Raw genomic sequence first — 27,820 nt, forward strand, 5'->3', positions numbered from 1 at the left:
AATTGAACTAACTTGCTCAAGCTCAAAACTGGTTAGGAGCAGATTCAGAACCAGTGCCCTGGCGCTCCCCTACTTTTTTTTTTTTTTTTTTTTGCTTTCTCTTTTAACTTTTTGTTAGGGAAAATTTTAAACACATGCAAAGGTAGGCAGAATAGATACTCATCACTCAGCTACAATTATAACAATTACCAACAAGTTGCCAGAATCCTTTTATCTATCCTCTCTTTTTTGTACCGGATTGTTTTAAAGCAAATCCAAGATACTTGAACTTCTATTAAATGGGATGGAAACAAATAAAAGGCAAACACTTTTTAAAATCCAAGATACTACATCATTTCTCTTGTAAATACTTTAGCATGCTTCTCTAACTGATAAGAATATTTTAAAAACACATGCCATCAAATACCCAATAAAGCTAACACCCAATAAAGCTAACAACAATCCCTTTAATATCACCTACTATCTGTCCATATATATATATTTTTTTTCTTTTTTGAGACGGAGTCTCGCTCTGTCGCCGAGGCTGGAGTGCCATGGTGCGATCTTAGCTAACTGCAACCTCTGCCTCCCGGGTTCAAGAGATTCTCCTGCCTCAGCCTCCTGGGTTCAAGCAATTCTCCTGCCTCAGCCTCCCAAGTAGCTGGAACTACAGGTGCATACCACCATGCCTGGCTAATTTTTTGTACTTTGAGTAGAGATGGGGTTTCACCGTGTTAGCCAGGATGCATATTTATTTATCTGATTATCTCAGGGTATCTTTTTACAATTGGCTTGTTTGAATCAGGATTAGAAAGGTCCGTAGGTTGCATTTGGTTATTGTATCTCTTAAGTCTCTTTTATTCCATAGCAGTCTTACATCTCTTTTTGTTTCAATGCCATTGCTTTTTTGGAGAGGATGAATCAATTACCTTCTAGAATATTCCGTGTTCTGAGTTTGGCTTTTTGCTCCCTATGGTGTCATCTGCATCCTATAGTACTCTGTCCCCTGTATTCCCTGTACATTGGAAAGTCAGATCTAAAGCCTTGTTCAGATTCAGCTTTCTAGGGAAGAAGAATTGATAAGAGATATTGTGCTTTTGCTATGGCTACCCATCTGGATGGCTCATTGCTATGTTTGGTGATGCTAGGGCCAAATGCTCAGCAGGTTCAGGTGTGGTGAGCCTGATCTCTTCATCATAAAGTTCCCTGTAAACCTTTCACATCGTGGTTCTAGCATCTCCTGATGATCATTATTTACATTCATTGTTTCATTCATGCCTGCAAGATGATTTTTTTTAAAAATTCTATCATTCCTTTTGCTTCTATTATAGAATTCTTCTATAAAGGAAAACTTTTCCTTATCACCGACTTGGTGTTTTTGAAATACAGCTGATGCGGGGCACAGTGGCTCATGCCTGTAATCCCAGTACTTTGGGAGGTCAAGGTGGGTGGATCGCTTTGAGTCCAGGAGTTCGAGATCAGCCTGGGCAATATGTCAAAACCCCATCTCTACAAAAAAATTACAAAAGGTAGCCAGGCCTGGTGGTGCATGCCTGTAATCCCAGTTAGTCAGGAGGCTGCGGTGGGAGGATCACCTGAGCCTGTGAAGTCAAGGCTGCAGTGAGCCATGATTGCACCACTGCACTCCAGGTTGGTCAACAGAATGCGTCCCTGAAGAAAGGAAAGAAAGAGAAGAAAGATGAAAGAAGGGAAGGGAAGGGGGAAGGAAGGAAGGAAAAAAGGGAAGGAAGGGAGAGAGAGGGAGGAAAGAAGCAAGGGAGCTAATATAGAAAGGTAGGATAAATGCTTGATTCTGTCCCTTTATTTCTCAATTGTCAAAGAACTGACCTATTCCCTGGAAAATTCTAGTGGTGACAAATGCGGGGGGTCTTGCTGTTGCTTCATTTTGTAATTTTGTCATTATGATATGTTTCAGTCTATTGTAAACATCTGTTTTGGTGCTAAAACTTGTCCCATCATAGGTGAGTCGGTTCTGGGTTCCTTTGACTTCATCCTATTAGTGTTTGATACCTTCCTTGCTTTCGACATGATAAGCGGTCCAGTGCTCACCTCATTCATGCCCTGCCCTAGACCTGTGAAAATCTATTTTCCTGCTGGTCCAGAGTGACTCATGTGCCATTCCACAGCCTCCCTGTTCGTTGGACTTATTTGGGTCACCGTTGCTGGCAAAGAGCTGTGGTCATTAGAAGTTGGTTTTATTAGGCCGGGCACAGTGGCTCACACCTGTAATCCCAGCACTTTGGGAGGCTGAGGCAGGTGGATCACAAGGTCAGGAGTTCAAGATCAGCCTGGCCAACATGATGAAACCCTGTCTCTACCAAAAAATACAAAAATTAGCCGGGTGTGGTGGCATGCGTCTATGATCCCAGCTACTCGGGAGGCTGAGGCAGGAGAACTGCTTGAACCCCAGAGGTGGAGGTTGCAGTGAGCTGAGATCGCGCCATTGCACTCCAACCTGGGGAACAAGAGCAAGAGCAAGACTCCATTTGAAAAAAAAAAAAAACTTGGTTTTATTGGCCATGCATGGTGACTCACGCCTGTAATCCCAGCACTTTGGGAGGCTGAGGCAGGAGGATCGCTTGAGCCCAGGAGTTCCAGACCAGACTGGGTAATATGGCAAAACTCCATCGCTACAAAAATTTTTCTAAAATCAGCTGGGCATGGTGGCATGCACCTGCAGTTGCAGCTACTTAGGAGGCTGAGGCAGGAGGATGGCTTGAGCCCCCGGCACCAAGGCTGCAGTGAACCGTGATCATGCCACTGCAGTCCAGCCTGGGTGACTGAGTGAGATCCTGTCTGAGAGAGAGAGAGAGATTGAGAGACTGATGCTCAAACAGAGATTCACACAGGTGGAGGCAGGATTCCAATGCATTGCATGTTGCGGCTGTTGAGCTTCATGAGGGGGTAACCACGTGCTCACCACTGAGCCTCCAGTGCCTAGCCATGACTTGGTGAAATTCTGTCTAGTAGGTATCTCTGCGTTATGTAAAATCATGAGCAATTCCTGTACCCCAAATAGTGCCCCACAGGGAAACTGGGAACTAAACAATACAAGCTATAGCACTTCCCTGCCCATACTTGAGCTAGTCCAGTACAGGATTCACTGCCAGAGTCACAGCAAAGGAGTCATAGCGTCTGCATTTTTGCCATCAATAGTCATTGGCTTCCTTATTTCCTAATGTTTCCCAAACTTAAAAATGATTAGTTACAAGAGGTATAAACATTTTGGGGACTCCTCTTTGAGCCAAAGTCATCTCACTAAGACTCTACCAATGTGCTAGTGGAGTTGTTGGTCCAGACTCCACACACTTTGGTGACAACCATGAAATGCTTTCAGAGGGGAAGGTGGGTGGCACGCACCTGTAGTCCCAGCTAGGCATGGTGGCATGCGCCGTAGTCCCAGCTACTTGCGGGGCTGAGGTGGGAGGACTGTCCAACACATGGACATTGGGGAATCTTCCAAGACGCACCTACAAATTCCCAGAAGGGACCAGCTGGGAATTTATGTGCCATGTGCATCTCTGGGATATTTCCTAAAAGAAGAGAGGCTGAGGCATGGTGCACAAATTCTGTATCTCTGGCAGAGTCCTCCACATGAAACTGCCTTTGCAAAATTAGACAGAGAAATCTAACATAGCTGACTTCATCCTTCCTCTAACCTCCAAGCTGTTCTTGGTCATTTCTGGGCATAAGCCAGACTAACTTTGGGAGACATTTAGTTTATAGTTTAACCTTAGACTACCATAGCCCTTCCCAAAACTAAATCACCTTTGTAAAACTAATGAAAGGCCGCAAGGTTAGGAGAATGAGAAGGGCCCGAATTCTGCTAGGATGGAGGCGTAAAGGAAAAACAGCCATTGTTCCGGAGGTCACAAGATTTGCAACTTCCCCAATCTCTCTTGTAGATAACATCACTATTGTAGAACCTAAGATTGGTCTTTTGAGGTGTCTATTCAGACTTCTGCACTTCTGACAATTGGCTAACTCCACCCAGACTCATGACTCATGACTAAGCAGTCCTCTGGGACCCCCACTCAGAGGCAAACCATTTTCCATGCCCCTGTGATAGCATCCCCAACCAATTAGTAGCATTCCCTAGTCCCCTGCCCACCAAACTATACTTGAAAACCGCTAAACTCAAAGCCTTCACAGGGATCAGTTTGAGTAATAACTCCATCTCCTGTGTGGTGGTGGGTCTTGCATCAATTAAACTCTTCACTGTAATGCCATGGTCTCAGTGAATTGATTTTGTCTGTGCAATGGGGAGGACAAGCCCATCAGGCAATTACAGAAACATGCTGGGAGCCTAGGCACCTCTGCGTCTGCTATCCACATGGCCACTTCCTTCTAACACCAAGCCTGGGATATCTTCATCACACTCATTCCCCAAACCTTGGCCCTTTTCTCATGGAACAACCTTGCTGAAAGTCAGTGGAGACAGACTCTCACTACTATCTCAACTAGAGACACTAGTTGACACAAGAAACTGTGCTTCTAAAGATCACTTATAAAGTTGGTTTCTAGGAACTTGGAGACCATTTACCCATTGGGTATGTTTTTTTTTTTTTTTTTTTTTTTTTTCCTGAGATGGAGTCTCACTGTATTGCTCAGGCTGGAGTGCAGTGGCATGATCTTGGCTCACTACAACATCTGCCTCCCAGGTTCAAGAGGTTCTCCTGTCTCAGCTTCCCGAGTAGCTGGGATTACAGGCATGTGCCACCACGCCTGGCTAATTTTGTATTTTAGTAGAGATGTTGACCAGACTGGTCTCAAACTCCTGACCTCAAGTCATCCACCCACCTTGGCTTCCCAAAGTGCTGAGATTACGGGTGTGAGCCACCAGGCCTGGCCTTCATCATGACTTTAATTTGCATTTCCTTAATGGCTAATGATGTTAAATGTCTTATCATGTGTTTGATATTCTTATATCATCTTTAATATGACATATCCTCATATCTTTTGCTCATTTTTAAACTGAATTTTCATTTTTTTTTCTTGGTTGTTGTTTTATGACAAGGTCTTGCTCTGTCACCCAGGCTGAAGTGCAGTGGCACAATCACAGCTCACTACAGCCTTGAACTCCTGGGCTCAAGTGATCCTCCCACTCAGCAGTAGTTGGAACTACAGGCATCACTGCACCTGGCTATTAACGTTGAATTTTCAGAGTTCGTTGTCAGAGATTTGTTTTGCAAATTTATCTCTCACTTTGTAAACTTGTCTTTTTATTCTTTTTTTTTTGAGACGGTGTTGCTCTGTTGCCCAGACTGGAGTGCATGGGCACAATCTCGGCTCATTGTAGCCTCAACCTTCAGGGCTGAAGTGATCCTCCCACCTCAGCCTCCTGAGTAGATGGGACTACAGGCATGTGCCATCACACCTAGCTAATTTTTGTATTTTTTGTAGAGATGAGGTTTCACCCTGTTGTGCAGGCTGGTCTTGAACTCCTGGACTCAAGCAATCTGCCCACCTCAGCCTCCCAAAGTGCTGGGATTACAGGCGTGAGCTACTATGCCTGGCCCTTTTTGTCCTTTTAATGGGTCTTTCATGGAGCAACAGTTTTACATTTTTACAAAGTCCAGTTTATTGATTTTTAAATTTTATGAATGGTACTTTTGGTGTCATGTCTGAGAGTTCTTTACCAAGCCCTAGGTCCTGAAGATTTTCTCCTACATTATCTTTTTTTTTTGGAGACAGGGTCTTGCTCTGTTACCCAGGCTGGAATGCAGTGGCACAATCATGGCTCACTGCAGCCTTAACCACCTGGGTTCAAGCAATCCTTCTGCCTCAGCCTCCGGAGTAGATGGGACCACAGGTGCATGCTACCATGCTGGGCTAATATTCTAAATTTTTGTAGCAATGAGATCTTGCTGTGTTGCTCAGACTAGTCTTCATCTCAAAGGTCTGGGATTACAAGTGTGAACCACCACACCCAGCCTGTTATCTGCTAAAAGATTTGGGGTTTTATATTTTAATCTATGATTCTGAGTTACTTCTTGTATAGGTGTAACGTTCACTCTCGTGGCATTGGATGTCCCATTGCTCCAGCATTTTTTTCTTTTTTTTTTTGAGACAGGGTCTCACTCTGTTGCCCAGGCTGGAGTACAATGGCACAATCTTGGCTCACTGCAACCTCCGCCTTCCAGGTTCAAGCGATTCTCATGCCTTAGCCTCCTAAGTAGCTGGGATTACAGACGCATGCCACCACTAATTTTTGTATTTTTAGTAGAGATGGGATTTTGCCATGTTGGCCAGGCTGGTCTCGAACCCCTGACCTCAAGTGATCCACCCACCTCGGCCTCCCAAAGTGCTGGGATTACAGGCGTGAGCCACCACGCCTGGCCGCTCCAGCATCATTTCTTAAAAAGACCATCCTTCTTTCAATCCTTCATTGAATTGCCTTTGCATGTTTGTCAAAAAGCATTTGGCTGTGCTTGTGTGGATTTTTCTATTCTAGGCCACTGATCTATGTATCTATCCTTCCGCCGGTACCAGTTTTGATTCCTGTAGTTACGTAAGTTTTAAAATCAGGTAGAGTGATTCCTCCCACTTGCTTCTTGCTCAAAATTGTTTTTAGCTATTCTAGTTCCTTTGCCTCTCCAAACAAATTTTAGTTTTTTCACCCAGGCTGGAGTGCAGTGACGTGATCTCGGCTCACTGCAACCTCCACCTTCCAGGATCAAGTGATTCTCCTGCCTCAGCCTCTCGAATAGCTGGGATTACAGGCTCCCGCCACCATGCCCGGCCAATTTTATATTTTTAGTAGAGATGGGGTTTGACCATGTTGGCCAGGCTGGTCTCGAACTCCTGACCTCAGGTGATCAGCCTCCCAAAGTGCTGGGATTACAGGCAGGAGCCACTGCGCCCGGCCCCTGCTATATTCTTAATGTAGCAAATTAGTCCAACACTGATCAGACTCTCAAGCGAACTCTTCTGGCATTTGATAAAGTATCAAGTTATTTTAAAATATTTAAAAGTTATTTTAAAAGTTATTTAAAAATATTGAGCAACTACCCTAACACACATAACATAAAGCTATACTAATCGCATGGATGACTCCCAGGTACCACACACTGAGACAGAACTTGGGAGGAGGTGGAATGGGAGCAGGTTTGGTAGAAGGAAGGAGGAAGGAAGAGCTCTGTTGAGGTATGTTAAGTGCGAGATGCTTATTAGACCTTAAAGTGGAGATGGGGACACAGTTGGATGTATGAATCTAGAACTTATTTGAGAGGTCTGGTCTGCAGAGAGATACATTTAAAACTGTGAGATGCCACCGAACTTTTGCTGAGCTTTTATAGCTTTCTTCCTGTTAAATTAAGTAGTTTGGCTTTGCAAGTAAGCTTCAGAAGTTCACCCATCCTACCCACATTTCTATTTTCATGTTTAAGTAAATTTAGTAGAGGACTAGATAAATTATAGTATCCCTCTTATTATTCCTATACTAATATTACTTTCCTCATTACTTTTAAACACTTGACTTTCATGTCATTTCCCTTCTTAACAGTCATTAACTTTTATCTCCTATACCATGCTAAGCTTCTCTCTGGCATTCACAATATATTCTCCATTGTCAAAATGGCTCCTTCATTCCTCCTGAACACACCACGAATATGACCCTGGCCTCTGACTTTATGCAGACTGCCACCCAAACTGGTTTCACAACTCCCTTGACCTGTACCTCTATCTGTAAGAGCTTGAGAACTCTATGAAGTCTCCACCTGTTCCAGCCTATCATCTCCCCTCCTCATCTCCACATACATTTGCATGGTAGTCTTCATCATATGGTCTCTTGCATTTTAAAAACCTCAAACCTACTTCTCAAGTTGTACAAGCTCACTAACAGGTCATGTTGGAATGAGTTTCCAATCATGAGTGCCAAAATCATGCAGTATTTCCAATACAAATACTTTGCTTTCTACCCCAAAAATACATGATCCAAAACTAAAATGCAAAGGAATAAATCAACTGTATCCAAATCTCAATTAATAGGACTCCATTATCAGCCTAGAGTACCAAGCCAGTAATAATGTGAGAGGCAGAATTTAGTCAGAGGCATAGAGAGCGAGCCTAGGCAGAAAGGGCAATGAGTGTCCACCAGGACTAATGAGGCGACCTGCCCCAGGCCACACAATTCCTATCCAAGGCAGCGCCCTTTTCACTACCAGTCCACCAACTGCGGGACTTAGGTGTGCTGTCCCAGGAAGAGGCAACCAGGCCTGGGGGAAAAACTGTACCTTCTTCTTCCACTTAAATGGAATAACTATCCCTGTATTTCTCCTCAGTCTGCATGGAGCAAAAAATTGGTTTTAGCATAATCCATCAAATACATGACTCCAAGCAACCAGGACAGAGAACTCCATTGGTAAACATACAAACCCATGCAAACACACACACGCATATGTGAGCACACACATACTCCAGACATTATGGCCAAGCATGCCATACAAAACTGTGTTTATCGTGAAACAATCTGAGTTAGGAAACTAGGATTGTTGCCACCACCATTTATTTATCTAGTTCATAACTAAGGATAGAACACTATAGCAGTGCTAGAGATGCAAAGACGTCCCTGCCCTTAAGGGGCTTACAATCTTACTGGAGAATATAACAGGCACATAAGAAGCTGGACTACAAGGAAGCATGAGCTAACAAATGCCAGACTTCGGAAGGCAGCGTAGTTTGAGAACATGGGATTCAGAGTCACAAAACCCACATCCTAGTCCCAACCCAGTATATCAGTTAACCTCTCTGGGTTTTTTCCCAGCTACAACATTAAATAGTAAGACTGAGAGGCTGTCTGCATGTTTCCATCATCATTCAGATCAAAAGCTGAGATGAGCTTTAGGGAGGAGGCTGCACCTGAGCGGGACACTGAAGGAAGGCAAAGGAGGTGTTTCAGACAAGCAAAGCAGTACTGAGGTAGCTGTAAGCTTGGAGTTTGGATGGGAGACGACAGACAAGTGTCACAAGGAGCAACGGCAGAGAGGTGGGTGGGTGGCAGGAAGCGCCACAACACTTTCCACACAGGGGTGGGTGGTGTGCCTCACATTTACAGCCGATCATTTACAGCACATAATTCCAGAGAGTAGAAAATACCAGAGGATAATGGCGGCATTTTTTCAAACATTTCACTTGATTTCCATAAAGTATAAAATAATTTAACATTATACCTCTACATTTCAAAATTCACATCAATAAACCATCCTAATTGTTAAAATGCAAACCAATTCAAAGTTTACATTCTTAGTAAACATAACTAAATCTCTTAATTCAAAAGGACATTTGATACAAATTATATTACTCCAATAATTCCAACATTCATTTTCCACCATGTTCCAAGCACTGTGAAAATAAAAATGACTATGACAAGGTCCCTGCCCTTGAAGAGCCTGCAGCCTGGCAGATGAGACAAAGATCAACTCTGCCTACCTAGAACAGAATTACTGTGATGCACAGCCTGATCAAGGTACGAGCCGTGGAGCACAAAGACGGATTCATCCTTCCTGAAGTTTCCACAAGGGCTCAGGAGAGAGGTCTTGGGCACAAGAAGAAATGAGTTTGGCAGAGAGAAAGTGACTATGGGAGGAGAGGGCTCCCAGGCAGAGGACACACGGGCACAGAGAGGAAGTCCAGGGCCAATGACAGGGACAGGGTGGCTGAAGCAGGGTGTAAAAGGCAACAGCTAGTGATACGAAGGCCCGGACTTAGTCCTGTGAAAATAAGGAGCCATTGCTTGTCATGTTTTAATCATCTACTAACACTGGTTCATAAGGTCAGGAAGAGATAGGACAGAAAGTGAGCAGGAAGGTTCTGTCTGTATTGTAGGCAGTGACTGTCTGCTCTCCCCAGCAACTAAACTGCTCAGAAGCCACACTCCCCATGACCTCCTTCCTTCATCCTTTCTTCTGTCTCCTTTTTCTCTTTATGATCTGCTTCCCCTCTGTCCTTGAGTCTTCAAAATGGAGCCAGCACTGGGAAGGCATAGGAGAGGAGCAAAGGAGCAGGACTAGAAACAAACATATATGGCTAATCGAGTTACTATAAAGAAATGGTAACCGTATTGGACAAAGGTCTGCAGATGAAGGAAACTAATTCTTTTTCAGGAGTTTTCCAAAAGTGCCCAATTCACACCAAAATTTTGGAAAATCTCATACAATGTGGGAAAAGTATACAGAACCCTTGCAGAAGACTCCATTTCCTAAACTATTTTGCATTAATATCAACGTTACAAACGCAATACCATAGGATTTCAGAGCCTATCTTCACACAAATAAGATCTGACCAAAATTGCATTGCTTAGCTTAAAAAATACTACACAATGTATAATTTCAAGTCTTAGGTTCTCAGCTACTACCAAAATATGTCAATATATGAATAAACTGCCTTGTGAAAAACATGCAGTAAAAGGTAGATGCAAATAAGCCATCCCTTTAGGGTAGACACTATATTAAAATTTCTTGTCATATTATAAAACCATTCTACAAAAGTAACACCTTCTTGAAATTTCATTTTGTAATGAAGAAAATAAATCTGTATCATTTTATTTAACATTCATTCTTTAAGTTACAGTTAACACAATCTGCTTCTAATCCAAGAAATCCTAGTATAATCTGAAATACATGCATATACATTTAGTAAGACCTACATTTCTAAATAAATTACATGCATGATATACAATAAAGAATACTAATATGAAAATTCAGGACATTTATTTTTCTGCATGGAAATTTAACTACTGTATAACACACGCACATACAAAACAAACCCACAAAGCAACAGTGTGTAATAGGTAGTGAGAGACACACAAAATAAGCATATTTAAAACGCCTACAAACAGCCTTTTTTTTTTAGGCAACAAAATACGTCCAGTCCTTGACATCTTCTCATACTCACCTAGCACCACAGATGCAAGGACCTAACAGTAAACATGTACAATCTCATGCTTAACACCTAAAGCATGCACTGAATTGAATTTGTATGTTGTGATCTATTCTACTAAGTATGCAATACATACTTTTTCTTACTAATATTTTATACATTAAATTACCCTGCAGCATTTTGAAATTTTAACATTGATGTAAAACAACTTTTGAAAGATTTATGAAACAAGTTTCGAGGTTCACCTTCAGGCTGGTTTGGTTAAGTGGAAAAATGGCAGCAGCCTCAAGGTTCATACTGAATGAAAATGGTGTTGTGTGCATGTCAACCCATGTAAAAAATACCTATATACAAGATGGCACAAAGATTTGTGCAGTTGGAATCACCAGTGCAAATGCATGCATTTGAGGTACTTATTTTTTTCATGGTCAGGTATAATTATGCATAGTCATTTTCCTTAAGTGCTAAAGATTTCAGACCTGATCAAATGAAAAGCTGTAAGTGTAAATATGAGCTATTTATATAGTTAATTTCAAAGTGCTATGCTTTTAATGAACATATGTTTAACATTATAGATTTATATATTTAGTTTAAAATATTTATATTACTAACCAATAAATTTTCTCACTATAAAGAGACTGACTGGCAATTATACCTGGCCAAGTAATTTAAATAGCATACTTGCAAGAACTGTAGTGAAAGAGTTAAATACTTCATTATTGCTTCATTGAACTGAGAAGCCCAAAAGGCATAGATCAACAATGCTCAGTGATGAAAAATGAATACCCAGAACAGCGGTGCACGCCCCCAAAATGACCTCTGTGCAATAAAAACTAAGCATTCTCCACGTTATCAATGCCGTTGGCATCCACATGGATATCAGACTCCCCACACAAAGATGAGGGAACAAAGCGGCTAACAGTGGGACACAAACAGCTCTTAAGCTCTGGCAATTCCTGCTTCAGGCGTTCCAATTGCTCCACTTGGAATATATTTGGTTGTTCAGGCATCCAATCATATATCCTATGATGAAACAAATACAAAACACATAAAATACTGTAATTTTATGGTTTACCTAAGACCTGCCTGACTCAACCTTTTCATAAGAATTCATTTACAGAATGCCTGGAACATCCACATCAGAGTTTTTGTTTTGTTTTAAAGATGAAAGTATCCATTCTCTTTTTTAAAATTTCTCTTCTTCCCAGTCTTTCCAATAATCCAGAATAGCAGCATTGCCCTTTTGTACCCCCGATGCAATGGAGCTCAACATAAAGCAGCTGAATCAGAAAATGAAATGTCTAGTTTACTTGTGATCTAGCTTAAAGTATTTGCCCTCCAACTTGCCTTTTTTTAACAAATGGAAATCTATAAAAAACTGACTGCTCTGACTTCAAAGTCACTAAAGATCGAGATAAGAAGACTGCTTACCAGCGTGGGAACTACTCTAAAGCTGCTCAATAACGTCAGACACGTCCAGAGTGGAGAACTCTGAAAGAGCCTCTGGTGACCTGACACTGGCACTACCCATCAGCAGAGAAAAGATGGCCTCCTGTGCCTGAATGTGACAGCCAGGCAACTATGTAAGGCAGTATCAGAGAATCTTTATGACATCACAGTAGGAAAGAATTTTTTCAACACGATAAAAAATATGGTGACTCTAATAAATATCTGACTGTATTAAAACAAAGAGTTTCTATTAATTATTAAAGACATATCTAAGAGAATGAAAAATGACCTCTGGGTCAAGGTATCAAGACAGAACAGAAGCATCTAACTTCGTTCTCTCCCTATATTCCATTAAAAATAAAACAAAGATTCTTTTCAATAAAATCCGTAAGTAAGAGAAAAACCCAAGAGACAAAGCTACAACATTTTGAAAGCTGGAAAACAGATGGATAAATAAGAACTGAAAGTTTGTCAGTGAGAGAACTGAAAAGGCTGGCTCCCAGGCCAGTGGTAGGAAACAAGAGCAGAGTTAAAAGCAGGAGCAGATCGATGTAAGACGGCGGACTGTCAAACCAGAAACCACCCCTACTCCTAATCCCCCTGTGAAGAGGAGAAAACAGAATCTAATCAGGAGGTTGCTAACCCAGAACACTATATTAAACATCCTCTACAGAACAGATGGGCACTCTGGTTTTTTTAAAAAAGATAAAAGCAAAACTTGACAAGCAAACCTGCCGCTGATCTCTAAGTTTGATCCTGTTGACTTTTGGGCTCTGTACAACCATATCCAGTTGTCTAGTAATTTAATGTCTGGCTGTGACTACTCACTTTTTAAGGATGGTGTTGAGCCCATGTGGGAAGATGAGAAAAACAAACAGGGAGGATGATGGCTAATTTACATTGAACAAACAGCAGAGATGAAGGGACCTCAATCACTTTTGGCTAGAGACTCTACTGTGTCTTATTGGAGAATCTTTTGATGACTCAGTGATGATATATGTGCAGCTGTTCTTAATGTTAGAGCTAAAGGTGATAAGATAGCAGTATGGACTACTGAATGTGAAAACAGAGAAGCTGTTACACATATAGAGAGGGTATACAAGGAAAGGTTAGGACTTCCTCCAAACATCGTGATTGGTTATCAGTCCCATGCAGACACAGCTACTAAAAACAGCTCCACCACTAAAAATAGGTTTGTTGTTTAAGAAGACACCTTCTGAGTATTCTTCTGAGTATTCTCATAAGAGACCAAGTCAAGCAATCGAGATTTTGGAGCTGAATCAAAGCCTCTTCAAAAACTACTAGAGTGGACTGGATTTAAATTTAATTTCCATCCAAATGTTGCTAAGATGTAAGAGAAGTCTCATTCACTGAGGTGGGAGGACTGGAACTCAGGAGGTCAAGGGAGCAGTGAGCTGAGATTGTGCCACTGCACTCCAACCTGGGCAGCAGAGTGAGAGAGAACCTGCCTCAAAAAAAAAAAAAAAAAAAAAAATCCTTAATGACTTCAGGGAAATAGCATGTTCATTAAATGAGAATAGGATGCTAAATATATGGAAAAAAATGCATTCAGAGAAAAAAAGATAGTTCTTGGAAATTAAAGACACAATAGCAGACATGAAAAACTCAACAGAGGCCAGGCACGGTGGCTCACACCAGTAATCCCAGCACTTTGGGAGGACAAGAAAGGCAAATTGCCTGAGCTCAGGAGTTCAAGACCAGCCTGGGCAACATGGCGAAACCCTGTCTCTACTAAAATACAAAAAATTAGCCAGGCATGGTGGCGTGCGCCTGTAGGCCCAGCTACTTGGGAGACTGAGGCATGAGAATTTGCTTGAACCCAGTAGACAGAGGTTGCAGTGAGCCCAGATCGCACCACTGAACCCCAGCCTGGATGATAGAGTGAGACTATCTCAAAAAAAAAACAAACAAAGCAAACAAACAAAAAACATAAAAGCTCAACAGAATGAGTAGAAAGTAAGATTGAGAAAACCTTTCAAATGAAGCAAAAAAAAAAAAAAAAAGACAAAATAGGAGGAAAAAAAAATCAAAAATCTGGTCCAAGAGCTATTTGATTCAAACAAAAAGACTTCTATAAAGAAAAAAATCAAGAAAATTGAAAGGGTCAAAAATCAAAAGAATTATTTTTGAAAAAATTTTCCTGTGTTTAAGAACATGTATTGACAGACTAAAAGGGTTACCAAGTGTCCAGCAAAGTGGGCAAAGCCAGACCCACAAGAAAACACATCTCTATAGAATTCCCAAACTCTGGTAATAAAAGGAAGACCCTCAAAGCTTCCAAACAGGAAACACAGATTACATGTGTGAGAACATAATCAAGGTGGCTTCACACTGAGCAACAACACTGGAATGGTAAAGATGATGGAGAATGTTTCTAAAATTCTAAAGTATTTCTAACATAGAGTTCTATACACAGCCATGATATTTCTGGACATATAAAACCTCAAAAACATTTACCTCCTGTGTCCACCTTTCTTAAGAAGATGCTGAAAGACATGTCCCATAAAACTCATTGAACCAAGAGAGGAAAAGATATGAGCTACAGGAAACAGGAGATCTAACACAGAGAATGGCAGGGCACAGGATGACAGCTGTGCACAATCAACCAATCAGTACTGGAGCAGCCCGGTGGAGAGGCAGACGTATTGAGGGCTATTACTCCGAGAGAGACACTGTCACTCTAGCAGCTATGTTAACCTAAGAACAGAGTGCCCTCATGAGCCTGAACTGGCATATTACTTAAATATGGTCTAACCATGTGCTGATTAAGTTTCCACATTACCTGCAGGATTATAATGCTTTGGCCTACTCCTGAGAACTGGTAACAGGCTACAGTGAGTGTAGAACCAGGAAATACAGGACAGCCCACTCCTGCTATACCTCCTATGCCTGACCCACAGGCAGATGTGCTGAGCTAGAGACCTAGCGGGTCACACAAACAGTTCGGAAAGTTAAGACTAGCATTTAAGCGCACACACACAAAGAAGTACACGCATGAACAGGAAGTATCTAAAGGACACTTGGAATTGTTTCAGGTGCATACTTGTAAATATACCTTATCTGTGTACTGGGTTGCCGCATAAAATAAGCTGGGTGCAAAAAGGTTTGAAAGTCATTGTACTATCAATAATGTTCACAGCAACACTATAAAATAGCAATTACTTGGCAGCAACCTAAATGTTCCTAAATAGCAGTCTAAGTTGTGGTAAAGACAACAATGGAATATTAACAAGACCACGAAAAGGAGTAAGGTATAGCTACATGCAACAATATGTTAATTTTAAGAACATAATTACAAGTTTTATGAAGTATATTTAAAGCTTGAAACTATACAAAACTACAGCTGGGGCAGGAGAATCACTTGAACCCAGGAGCTGGAGGGTAAGGCAGGAGAATCACTTGAACCCAGGTTGCAGTGAGCCGAGACAGTGCCACTGCACTCCAGCCTGGGTGACAAAGACTCTGTCTCAAAAAAATAAAAAGAACGGCCTCTTACTCATCATCCTAAGTGCAAATTTTCCAAACAAAATACCAGAAAATGATATGTAGCAGTTGAGTGTTTGATAATTGAAAACACACTCACACACTCTCACCACACCTCTCTCCAATCCAAAATGCCTCAAAGGCTCCAAGTCACTAATCATTCAAAACCTTCTATGTGATATCTAAATTTGATAATGGAAAAAATAGCATAAGCAGATTATTTAGAAATAGAGGTAACTGCCAGAAGAGCCAAATAAAGATTTGAGGGGACACGGTCTCAGCCAGAGACAATGGAAGAAATAGGTACAAGAAATTATTGGTATTTTATTATAAGACTTATCAAACTATTTGAATTTTAAAACTATATACACATGCTTTTTTGAATAAAATTAAAAAAAAATGTTGAGGGTAAAAACCAACTCAACATAACCCACCTTTCCCCTCCTCAGACCCTATTAGGAATCCAGTGCCTGGCCACCTCCCTGAAACCCTCAACAGTCATGCCCTGATTTACACTCTTGCCTCTGCCTAGAACACAAATCTTGTCAAAGTAAACATAACCACTCCCCAAATTCCAACTCAATTCTTCCTCTTTAAAGCTCCAAGCCAGGAAGAACTTTCTTGAGCACCTGTTATATCATGTATCTTCCTGTTCTCCATTAAATGTCAACATTTGATTTCAACCAAGTAAAGCCCTTGAGATGAAGAATCTGCCTGAAATTTGTATACTCTACAAAACCATAAATGATATAATCTCATAATATACTTCCTTGTCAGAAAATATTTGTAATCATTCCTTGTAACAAAAATACACATATAACCATATACATTCAAAAATTTGCTAAAGCCAGTACTTGTTCCAAATTATTTAAAATTTTAATTAAATTAGTTGGAAATGCTGAAGAGCGCTATGCGTCACTCATGCTATTTCATGCAAAATTAACCAAATAGTTTAAAAGGCAGGTAGGTAGGATTTACTTGGACTACAATTTTAAAACCAAACTAATTGAGACAAAATACTGGAAGGAAAACAAGCTTTATTCAGAAAGTAATATAACTTTATGGGAAGAATAGTAATATGAGCCAAATCCAAGGAATGTATTGTTTAAAGCAGGCCTAGTGAGATTTTATCACTTACTCTTTGTGTAACACTTCTCAAGCACAGGCAATCTTCGTCTTACTGCACTTCGTCTTTTTTTAAATTTCTTATAATTTAATTTTATTTTATATGAGATGGGGTCTTCTCCCAAAGTGCTGGGATTACAGGCATGAACCACCATGCCCCACCTGCGCTTTTCAGATACTGTGTTTCTTACAAATTGAAGCTTTGTGACCACCCTGCATCCAGCAAGTCTGTTGGTGCCATTTTCCCAACAGCATCTGCTCACTTCATATCTGCGTCACATTTTGATAATTCCCACAATATTTCAAAGTTCATTATGATTCTATCTGATATGGTGATCTATGATTAGTGATCTTTGATGTCACTATTGTAATTGTTTTGAGGTGCCACGAATCATACCCATAAATCAGTGTGTTCTGACTGCTCCACTGACCAGCCTCTCCCCTCCCTAACTTTCTACCTCTCCTCTGGCCTCCCTATTCTCAGAGACACATCCATACTGAAATCAGGCCAATTAACCTTACAATGGCCCCTAAGTGCTCAGGTGAAAGAAGAGTCTTAAATCTCTCAATTTAAATAAAAAACTAGAAATGATTAAGATTAGTGAGGAAGGCATGTTAAAAACTAAGATAGGCTGAAAGCTGGGCCTCTTGAACCAAACTGTTAACCAAGTTATGAATGCAAAGTCCTTGAAGGAAATTGAAAGTGCTACTACAGTGAACACAACAATGAAAAGAAAGCAAAGCAGCCTTATTGCTGATAAGGAGAAAGTTTTAATGGCCTGGATAGAAGATCAAACCAGCCAAAACATTTCCTTAAGCCAAAACCTAATTCAAAGGGCTTAACTCTCTTCAGTTCTATCAAGGCTGAGAGAGGTAAAGAAGCTGCAGAAGAAAAGTTGGAACCCAACAGAAGTTGGTTCATGAAGTTTAAGGAAAAAGAAGCTGTCTCCATAACGTAAAAGTGCAAAGTTAAGTATCAAGTGCTGATGGAGAAGCTGCAGTTAAGGTATCCAGAAGGTCTTGCTAAGATCACTTAACAAAGTGGCTACATTGAACAACAGATTTTCTTTTCTTTTTTTTTAAGACAGAGTCTCGCTCTGTCACCCAGGCTGCAGTGCAGTGGTGTGATCTCTGCTCACTGCAAGCTCCGACTCCTCGGTTCAGGCCATTCTCCTGCCTCAGCCTCCCGAGTAGCTGGGACTACAGGCGCCCGCCACCACGCCCGGCTAATTATTATTATTATTATTATTTTGTATTTTTAGTAGAGACGGGTTTTCACCGTGTTAGCCAGGATGGTCTCCATCTCCTGACCTTGTGATCCGCTCACCTCGGCCTCCCAGAGTGCTGGGATTACAGGCGTGAGCCATCAGGCCCGGCCGAACAACAGATTTTCAATGTAGACAAAACAGCCTTCTATTGGAAGATGCCCATCTAGACCTTTCACAGCTTGAGAGATGTCAATGCCTGGCTTCAAAGCTTCAAATAACAGGCTGCTTCTCTTGTTAGGGGCTAATACAACTGATGATGAGTTTAAGTTGAAGCCAATACTCATTTAACACTCTGGAAATTGTAGGGCCCTTCAGAATTACGCTAAATCTACTTTGTCTGTGCTCCAGAAATGCAACAAAGTCTGGATGACAACACATCTGTACACAGCATGGTTTACTGAATATTTTAAGCCCATAGTTGAGACGTACGGCTCAGGAAGAAAAAATATTACTGATCATTGACAATGCACCTGGTCACCCAAGAACTCTAACAGAGATTGCTGCTTTCATACCTGTTAACACAAAATCCATTCTGCAGCCCATGGATCAAGGAGTCACTTTGACTTTCAAGTCTTATTACCTTAGAAATACATTTCAAAGACTGTAGCTGCCACAGACAGTGATTCCTCTGAAGGATCTTGGCAAGGTAAACTGAAAACTTTTTATCATTCCAGATACCATTAAGAACATTTCTGATTCATGGGACAAGATCAAAATATCAACATTAACAGGCATTTGGAAGAAGCTGATATCAATCCTCATAGATGCCAGAGGGGTTCAAACCTTCAGTGGAAGAAGTCACTGCAGATGTGGTGGAAATAGAAAGAGACCTAGAAATAGAAGTGGAACCTAAAGATGTGACTGAATTGCTGCAATCTCATGATAAAACTTTAACAGACGAGGAGTTGCTTCTTATGGATGAGGAAAGAAAATGGTTTTTTGAGACAAATCCACCCAACAAAGATGCTCTGAACATTGTTTAAATGACAACAAGAGATTCAGAATATTACATAAACTTAGTGAATAAAGCAGCAGCAGGGTTTGAGAAGATGGACTCCAATTTAAAGATGTACTTACTACTGTGGGGCAGGGAGTGGTGGCCACCTGTAATCCCAGCACTTTGGGAGGTAAAGGCAGGCAGATCACCTGAGGTCAGCAATTCAAGAACAGCCTAGGCCAATATGGTGAAACCCTGTCTCTACCAAAAATACAAAAATTAGCTGGATGTGGTTGTGCATGCCTGCAGTCCCAGCTACTCGGGAGGCTGAGGCAGGAGAATCACTTGAACCTGGGAGGCGGAGGTTGCAGTGAGCCGAGATTGTGCCATTGCACTGCAGCCTGGGCGACAGAGCGAGACTCAATCTCAAAAAAATAATAATAAAATAAAAATAAAGATGTTTTGGCAGGGCGCGGTGGCTCACACCTGTAATCCCACAGCACTTTGGGAGGCCAAGGCGGGTGGATCACTTGGGGTCGGGAGTTCAAGAACCTGGCCAACATGGCAAAACCTCTTCTCTAGTAAAAATACAAAAATTAGCCAGGCATGGTGGCAGGCGTGCGCCTGTAATCCCAGCTACCCAGGAGGCAGAAGAATCGCTTGAACCCAGGAGATGGAGGTTGCAGTGAGCCAAGATCATGCCATTGCACTCCAGCCAGGGTATTAAGAGTGAGACTCTGTCTCAAAAAGCAAAAACAAATAAAAAAGATGTTTTACTGTGGGTGAAAAATGCTCTTAAACACCATCATGTGCAACAGAGAAATATTGTGTAAAAGGAAGAGTCCACGGGTACAGCAGACTTCATTTGTGTCTTATTTTAAGAAACTGCCACAGCCACCTCAACCTTCAGCAACCACCACCCTAATCAGTCAGCAGCCATCAACATCAAAGCAAGACCCTCCAGCAGCAAAATGATTATGATTTGCTGAAGGTAGATTGTTAGCATTTCCTAGTAATAACGTATTTTAAAATTAAGATATATACTGTGTTTTCTCAGACACAACGCTACTGTACACTTGGTAAACTACAATGTAGTATAAACATAACTTTTTTTTTAGACAGAGTCTCACTCTGTCACCCAGACTGGAGTGCAGTGGCGCGATCTCGGCTCACTGCAACCTCTGCCTCCTGGGTTCAAGTGATTCTCCTGCCTCAGCCCCGAGCAGCTAGGATTACAGGCATGTGCCACCACACCCGGCTAATTTTTGTATTTTTAGTAGAGACAGGGTTTCACCATGTTGGTCAGGCTGGTCTCAAACTCCTGATCTCATGATCTGCCCGCCTCAGCCTCCCAAGGTGCTGGGATTACAGGCGTGAGCCACTGCGCCCGGCCTAAACATAACATTTATATGCACTCGGAACCAAAAGATTTAGGACTTGCTTTGCTGTGGTGGTCTGGATCCCAGCCTTCACTATCGCTGAGGTACACCTGTATGAGCAAGTCTGCTAATCCCTCAGCAGAGTAAATGACATCCCTTCTAACCCCAAATATCTTTATACTAAAGAAACCTTTTTGACTCTCAGATTAGTGGCTGCCAAAGAAGCTGATGGAAAAAAAAATATTTGTTCAATAAATTATTTGACTCCCTACTGGATGCCCCACATTGTTCTAACCTCAATAGCAATGAACAAATCAGGCAAACAGCCTTGCCCTCCTCATGGAGCCTATATTCTCATTTGCATGTGTGCATTAGTGCCCAGGAGGATGGAGGAAAGGGGCTAGGGAGAAAAACAAGTAAAATGTAACACAGAATATGTGGTGTGTCAGATGATGATAAATGATATGGAGACAAGTCAGGGAGTGCACTGTGAATAGAAGTTGTTATTTGAAATCAGTTATTCAAGAAAGTCCTCACTGAGGTGACATTTAAATTGTTACGGAAGTCTTTCTCCAAAGAATGGGAAACAGCAGATGGGGGAATTTTGTGGAAGGTCAGAGAGGGAAAGAGGGTTGAAGGTGGTGGGGTGGCAGATTGGCTCATATAGGGCCCTCAGGCTTCAGCTTTTCCTTTAGGTGACACAGAAAACTGTGGGAGAGTTTTAAGTAGCAACATGATCAGACATAGGTCTTAAAAGCTTCCCTCTCACTACTGTACTAAGAATAAACAGCCTGACCGTTAAGGGTAGAGGCAGTCACCAGGGGGCAGGCTACCTCAACAATCCACACCAAAGATGAGCTGCTTTACTTGAGTGACAACAGTTAACTTGGTGAGTAGTCTGATTCAGGATATATTTTGAAGACAGAACAAAAAGATTTTCTATCTGACTGGATTTGGGGTATGAGATAAAGAACAGAGTCATGGAAGACTAAGAATATGGTCTGAATTGTCACTTATACTGAAATCAGGAAGACTGTAAGAGGAACAGGTGTCAGTACCTGGAAATAAAAGTCTACAGAGGTCTAGGGAAGGGTCTGAGTTGGAGATACGTAAGTGTGAGAACACAGAAAGTTATGAAAAGCCACAGAATTGGACAAGAGGAATGAAAAAGTTGGTATAGACAGAGAAGAGGTCTAAGGGCTGGCAGTCACCCTCACCCCCAGGGTGATTTAGTATATATATCTGAGTTAAGGCCCAGTCATTTGAATCCTTAACAAGCTTCCCAAGTGATTCTGCTATCCTTCAAACTTTGAAAACACCCACAGGCAAATGTCAAGATAACCTCAGGCTGAACTGCAGAATTTTAACTTAACTAAGTTTAATTTTATTTATAATTTCGTAAGATGAAATCTATACTTCTAAATTCCATGAAAATTTTTCATGAAAAACAAATACCTATCATAAATTAGACCATTAACTCCAAGTTCCTTCAATTTCCTTCTGTTTTCAGGATCATTGGTATCATCACCCCAGCAGAATATGACTAGTCCCTTAGCTTTTGCCTCTTGAATATAGGATGGGTTTCTGAGCAAGTCTTCAGTATGTACATTTATCCCCTAGAAGAAGAAAAATTAGTTGTGCATGAAAAAGAAACATTAACTGCAAAGCTAAATGCTCACACTCTAAATCAGTGCTCTCCAAAGTACAGCAGGCGGGAAAAGAAAATGGTAGATTTTTTTCTTCCAATTACTTTAACTTATTCTTTTTAATGGACACTTCATACATAAATATATTCACAATATATTAATATATACATAATGTATAAGCATACATATTGAATGTGCAGTCAAAAAATGTACTAATGGAATGCTCTACCAAAACAAGTTCACGTTCATCTGTAAAATGGGAATAATATTTTTAAAAGGCATACAGTCTGAACATTTTTAGATTATTCATAAAATCTATTCAGAAAGTTAAACTAAAAAATTTAACGTATGCCTATAACAAATTTTGTACTTAATGTAATTGTTTTTCATCCTGAGATCTAATATCCTCGTTTTTAAGTAGAGCCACTTGTTTGCTACAGTTTAGTCAAAACGTTAACATTAGATGGGTAAAGTAATATGAAATCTTTACTACTACTCCAAAATAGAAAACAGAACATTAAAAAGATAAAAATTCAAACATAACTTACCAGTAGATTTTCAAACTGTGCAAAGCTCATTGCAATGGGGGTTGTCCGAGATCTGAGGTCCATGAGTTCAGGATAAATCTCAGATTTTCCTTGAGTTAAAAATAGTATCGGATATTTGTTCTGCTTTTGCCGAACCCTGAAAAGAAACAATTTTAAAAATACCTTTCAATGGGGGGTAACTGTAATATTCCTTTTTGGAATTTTAGAAAACACTGAAAGTATAAAGAAAACAAACGAGGCCGGGCATGGTGGCTCACACCTGTAATCCCAACACTTTGGGAGGCCAAGGCGGGCAGAGCACTTGCGGTCATGAGTTCAAGACCAGCCTGGACAACATGGCGAAATCCCATCTCTACTAAAAATACAAAAATTAGCCGAGTATCATGCACAGGCTTGTAATCCCAGCTACCGAGGAGGCTGGGGCACCAGATCACTTGAAACCTGAAGGCAGAGGTTGCAGTGAGCCGAGATCACACCACTGCACTCCAGCCTGGGCAACAGAACAAGACTCTGTCTCAAATAAATAAATAGATTTAAAAAAAAAAGAAAGAAAGAAAACAAAGAAACATATTCCCATTTCTCAGCTAAAACCACCATTAACATGCGTTGCCTTTTCAGGCCAGGTACAGTGCAGTGGCTCATGCCTGTAATCCACACTTTGGAAAGCCAAGGCAGGAAGCTCACTTGAGCCTAAGAGTTTGACACCAGCCTGTGAAAGAGGAGGAGACCTCATTTCTACAAAAAATACAAAATTAGCCAGTCTTAATGGCACACACGTGCAGTCCCAGCTACTCAAGAGGCCAAGGCAGGAGGACTGCTTGTGCCCGAGAGGTCAGGGCTGCAGTGTCATCATCACACCACTGCAGCCTGGGTGACAGAGTGAGATCCTGTCTCAAAAACAATTTTTTTTAATAAAAGATAAATACAAATTTAAAATTTTTTCTATACAAGAGCTAAAATATTCTCAGATATCGGCAGTGATAAATCCCTAGGGAGCTTACAATATGGTAAGGAGTATATGACCTGCCTGTAAAATAAAGGGTGTAAGGCTCTAGGACCTAGTAGGTGTGGACTTCACAGGAGTAGCAGGCACCCTAGCAAACAGTCAAGAAAGGGCATGAGGAAACACACAACCTGACATGATTTCAGAGGACAGATCATGGGGGAAAGCTGGACAACTACCCCACCTCCAGACTGCTGCCTTAAGTCCTAGACACATTCTAAGAGTATAGGAAAAAATACAGAGTATTACTCACATTGTGCAAATATCTGCATCAAATGAAGAAAACACTATTCTCCTCTTCCCAGAATTTTCTAAAACAGTTTTTAAAATTATATCCAAAAACAGATTCATGTCAAAATATGTTGATAAGTTACCATCCCACATTCCATCCTAGTGAAAGAGAAAGCAAAATAAAAGTCACTGCACATCCTAAAATCAGTGCTAGCAACTCTGTTTTTATTCTGGCAAGCTATGATGAAAAAACCCCTGACAGTATCTAGTCCAACTACTATTTTATAGATGATGAAACCTGAAAAGATTAAGTGATCTGCCCAAGATCACAAAGCTATTTAGTGATGACACAGGTCATAATTCAGACATAGAGACTCTCATACAAAAAGCAAGTAACTATTAACTATATCATCAATACACTTTTGCATTAATAAAGTTAAAATAAAAGCTAAAACTCTAGAATTTTGCAGTCTGCTATGACTTTATTTCCATAAATTATAAGACACACACATCATCTGCTAACAAATTAATAAAATGTCCCTACTAATTATTAATTACCAGTTTAAAAGTCTCATTCTTTGGGTCTTGGGCATATCAAGTAACCAAAAATTAATTAAAGTAACTCAATAAATATAGCCAAGACACCAAGCCAGCTCTATTGACATTCAAATGTTAAATGTTTTAAGTATTAGTCACTGAAATAATTCTAGAAGCTCAGAAAACTAAAAATCACATTATTAGGGAAACCTTAGTCGAGAATTCACTACATTAATGAGGACCAGCTTGTCACAAACAGCATAATGAGGGCAATTACAGATTATTCTGACCAAAACAAATTCAAGGGTATTGCTCAATGCCCAATCATGACATCTGAATTAACTACTTTCAACACCCCACACTCTACTACCCCAAGCCCCTTGCAATGCATCCCATCAATCTGCACATATTCTCTCTGATATATTCAATAGTTAGCTAATTGTTTTCCACAACTGAAATATAAGTCCCAGGAAGACAAGGCCTTATTCTCTTTTGTGGACTACTTGTCCCGAGCACTTGGAAAATGCCTGGTCCATAGCAGCTTTTCAAAAAATATTTGTTGAACAAAAAAATGACTAAATTTGTAAGTGATTTAAAACAATTGCAGAAATTTTTTTCCTGAATAATTATTACTAGCTACTGTTAACAACAGAAAACTGCTTAGAAAATTATTTAAAACATTCTTATATGGGAATAAGAAAGTAAAAACTAAATCCAAGAGATGTGACTATCCACTTTATAAGTATCTCCCCAAAACCACCATATTGTTCACACAAGACACATGTAAACTGAAATTTCTACAATATTCATCATTAATTTGAAATACTCACATACTAGCATGAATGCAAGATATGTTTTATTTAAAGGGTCCAATAAGCATTGTGCTTGGTGGAGGAAGCCACAATGAGATTTCAATTTAGCTTATTCCATTAAAATACAAAGACAGGAATGAAAGAATTTTTTAGATAGGCATAGAGAGTATAGAATGTGCTGCATAGAGAATTACTTACCCTTTGCTGGCAGATCCATTTTATTTCAATGTTAAACCCTACATCTTCTGGCAAAGACTCTAAAACCTACAGTTTTGTTTGTTGGTAAATTTTGTTTTTGATGAGATGGATAGCAGAATAAGAAAACAAAAAAAATACAATTATTACTAAAAATAATAAGAATTTATCATTAGTAGCAATAAAATGTTTTGTGCATAATGCACAAACATATTTTGTCATACTCAAAGTGACAACCTGGTAGATGATTATGTTAAATAAGGTCAAAAGAAATTAAGCAGCAAAAGCAGGAGTCTCAGGCACTGTCTGTGATAACTGACAAACACAAAGATGGTCCTTAACCTCAAATCCTTTTCGCCATTACTAGTAAACATCCAAAGTGAACTCTAACACAATAGGCAACATCATGAATTCAAGACATTTGTCATGTATTCTACACTGCATTTGGGGATGTCAATCTACTTGCCTAAAATCTATGAAAAACCATGATGTTTAGATTGTTTTGAAGGTGATGATGCTAAACAAATCCCATAACTTCCTGAAAAGATGTATCCCCAAAATGAAAACATTATGCTACAGCTCATAAATCAAAAAAGTTATAATTTATATAAATGACAAATGCTATCAGTGTATCTAAACTAAATTATCTAGACACTTTGCCATCAGATTATTTTGGCAGTTTTAACTAGAAAATGACATTGAAAATATGAAACTTGGTTAGTAACCTCCAAAGAACGGACTTGTTCAGTCTTAAACAAACATGAAGCCCAGACATATACATAAATATGCTCAGGGCAAAATGAATTTGACAGAGATTATGTTATATTATTATTATTTTTGAGGCATAGTCTCACTCTGTCACCCAGGCTGGAGCACAGTGGCACAATCTCAGTTCACTGCAACCTCCACCTCTGGGGTTCAAGCAATTCTCCTGCCTCAGCCTCCCAAGTAGCTGGGATTACAGGTGCCTGCCACCACGCCTGGCTAATTTTTTGTATTTTAGTAGTGATGGGTTTCACCATGTTGACTAGGCCAGTCTGAAACTCCTGACCTCAGGTGATCCACCTGCCTTGGCCTCCAGAAGTGCTGGGATTACAGGCGTGAGCCACTGTGCCCGGCAGATTATTTTAGATACTTCAAAATTTTAGGTATCAAAGAACATGTATAGCACATATGGTATTTAATTTTTAACAGCAAATAAATGCATACAAACAGAATAATATAGTGGTAAGAACACAGCCCAGGAGTCTGGTGACCTGGCATCTAGCTCTGGGCCTACTCTTAACCAGCTGCATGTAAAGTACAGCATCTAAAACAGTTTGTATTCAATTTTGTGTGGGACTTTTTTAATTTTCTCCTATATCTAAAGACTTATTTAACGTATCTGTCATATTTTTGCTGGACTAATGCAAAATGAGAAAGACTAGGACAATATATTAGTGTTGAGATTGCTAAAAGGCAAATTTGCCAGAAAAGTGTCTATATAATGAGATTATATTTGGTATTATTTTGGCGTTAAAATTTCTTTTTTTTTTTTTTGAGACGGAGTCTCGCTCTGTCATCCAGGCTGGAGTGCAGTGGCGCGATCTCGGCTCACTGCAAGCTCCGCCTCCTGAGTTCACGCCATTCTGCTGCCTCAGCCTCCCGAGTAGCTGGGACTACAGGCACCCGCCACCACACCAGGCTAATTTTTTATTTTTAATAGAGACGGGGTTTCACATGTTAGCCAGGATGATCTTGATCCCCTGACCTCGTGATCCACCTGCCTCGGCCTCCCAAAGTGCTGGGATTACAGGCGTAAGCCACCACGCCTGGCCAAAATTTCTTTGTGATTGAATTATAATGGCAAAGTGAGTAAATGAGTTTGCGTGTGTGTTTTAACTTATTTGACTAAAAGGCTGTCAAACCTGTATCACAATTTAAAATTTTTTTCCTGGGAATCATGAGATTTCTAAAACACAAATGATTTTAGAAAATTGAATTAGAAGAAATGATCTTACTTAGATGGGCTTCATAAGTACCTTAAAAGTTATACAAATTACATTTTACTTATTTATTTATTTTTGAGACAGGATCTCTCTCTGTTGCCCAGGCTGGAGTGCAGTGGCACAATCACAGCTCACTGCAGCCTCAACCTCCTGAGCTTAAACTGTCTGCCTGCCCTGGCCTCCCAAAGTGCTGGGATTACAGGAATGAGCCACCATGTCCCGCCAAAAATGATGTTTTAAATGCACTAGGATAATGTTCATTGCAGGGGCTCTCTTTTAGCATCCTTTTTGCAGAATGAATAATCAATACTTAATTTACC

The 27,820-nt window shown here is 40.5% G+C and overlaps 1 protein-coding gene and 1 pseudogene across 1 annotated transcript in view, besides 2 other annotated features; one reads left to right on the forward strand and one right to left on the reverse strand.

The window, feature by feature from the left end:
• Window positions 5,146–5,415: an enhancer, noted in NCBI's record as "active region_17520". NCBI's record gives its function as "activates an Ori minimal core promoter by ATAC-STARR-seq in GM12878 lymphoblastoid cells {active_cell/tissue: GM12878}" and the evidence as "EXISTENCE:reporter gene assay evidence [ECO:0000049][PMID:35858748]".
• Window positions 8,490–27,820, reverse strand: part of GPCPD1 (glycerophosphocholine phosphodiesterase 1) — a 66,568-nt gene continuing 47,237 nt past the window's right edge. Inside the window, exons 16-20 of the mRNA NM_019593.5 lie at window positions 25,516–25,581; window positions 23,991–24,127; window positions 22,735–22,870; window positions 21,996–22,156; window positions 8,490–11,901 (exon numbers count right to left, since the gene is read on the reverse strand). Coding sequence (NP_062539.1) covers window positions 11,712–11,901; window positions 21,996–22,156; window positions 22,735–22,870; window positions 23,991–24,127; window positions 25,516–25,581 — 690 coding nt within the window. The 3' untranslated portion in view covers window positions 8,490–11,711. The remainder of the gene's footprint in view (window positions 11,902–21,995; window positions 22,157–22,734; window positions 22,871–23,990; window positions 24,128–25,515; window positions 25,582–27,820) is intronic.
• On the forward strand, window positions 12,903–13,696 carry EIF4EP1 (eukaryotic translation initiation factor 4E pseudogene 1; annotated as a pseudogene).
• Window positions 17,175–17,904: an enhancer, noted in NCBI's record as "OCT4-NANOG hESC enhancer chr20:5533770-5534499 (GRCh37/hg19 assembly coordinates)". NCBI's record gives its function as "activates a minimal SCP1, AML or CMV promoter by ChIP-STARR-seq in naive H9 embryonic stem cells {active_cell/tissue: H9 hESC(naive)}" and the evidence as "EXISTENCE:reporter gene assay evidence [ECO:0000049][PMID:30033119]".

Source organism: Homo sapiens, chromosome 20 (genome assembly GCF_000001405.40).
Source record: "Homo sapiens chromosome 20, GRCh38.p14 Primary Assembly".
NCBI classification, from domain to species: Eukaryota; Metazoa; Chordata; class Mammalia; order Primates; family Hominidae; genus Homo; species Homo sapiens.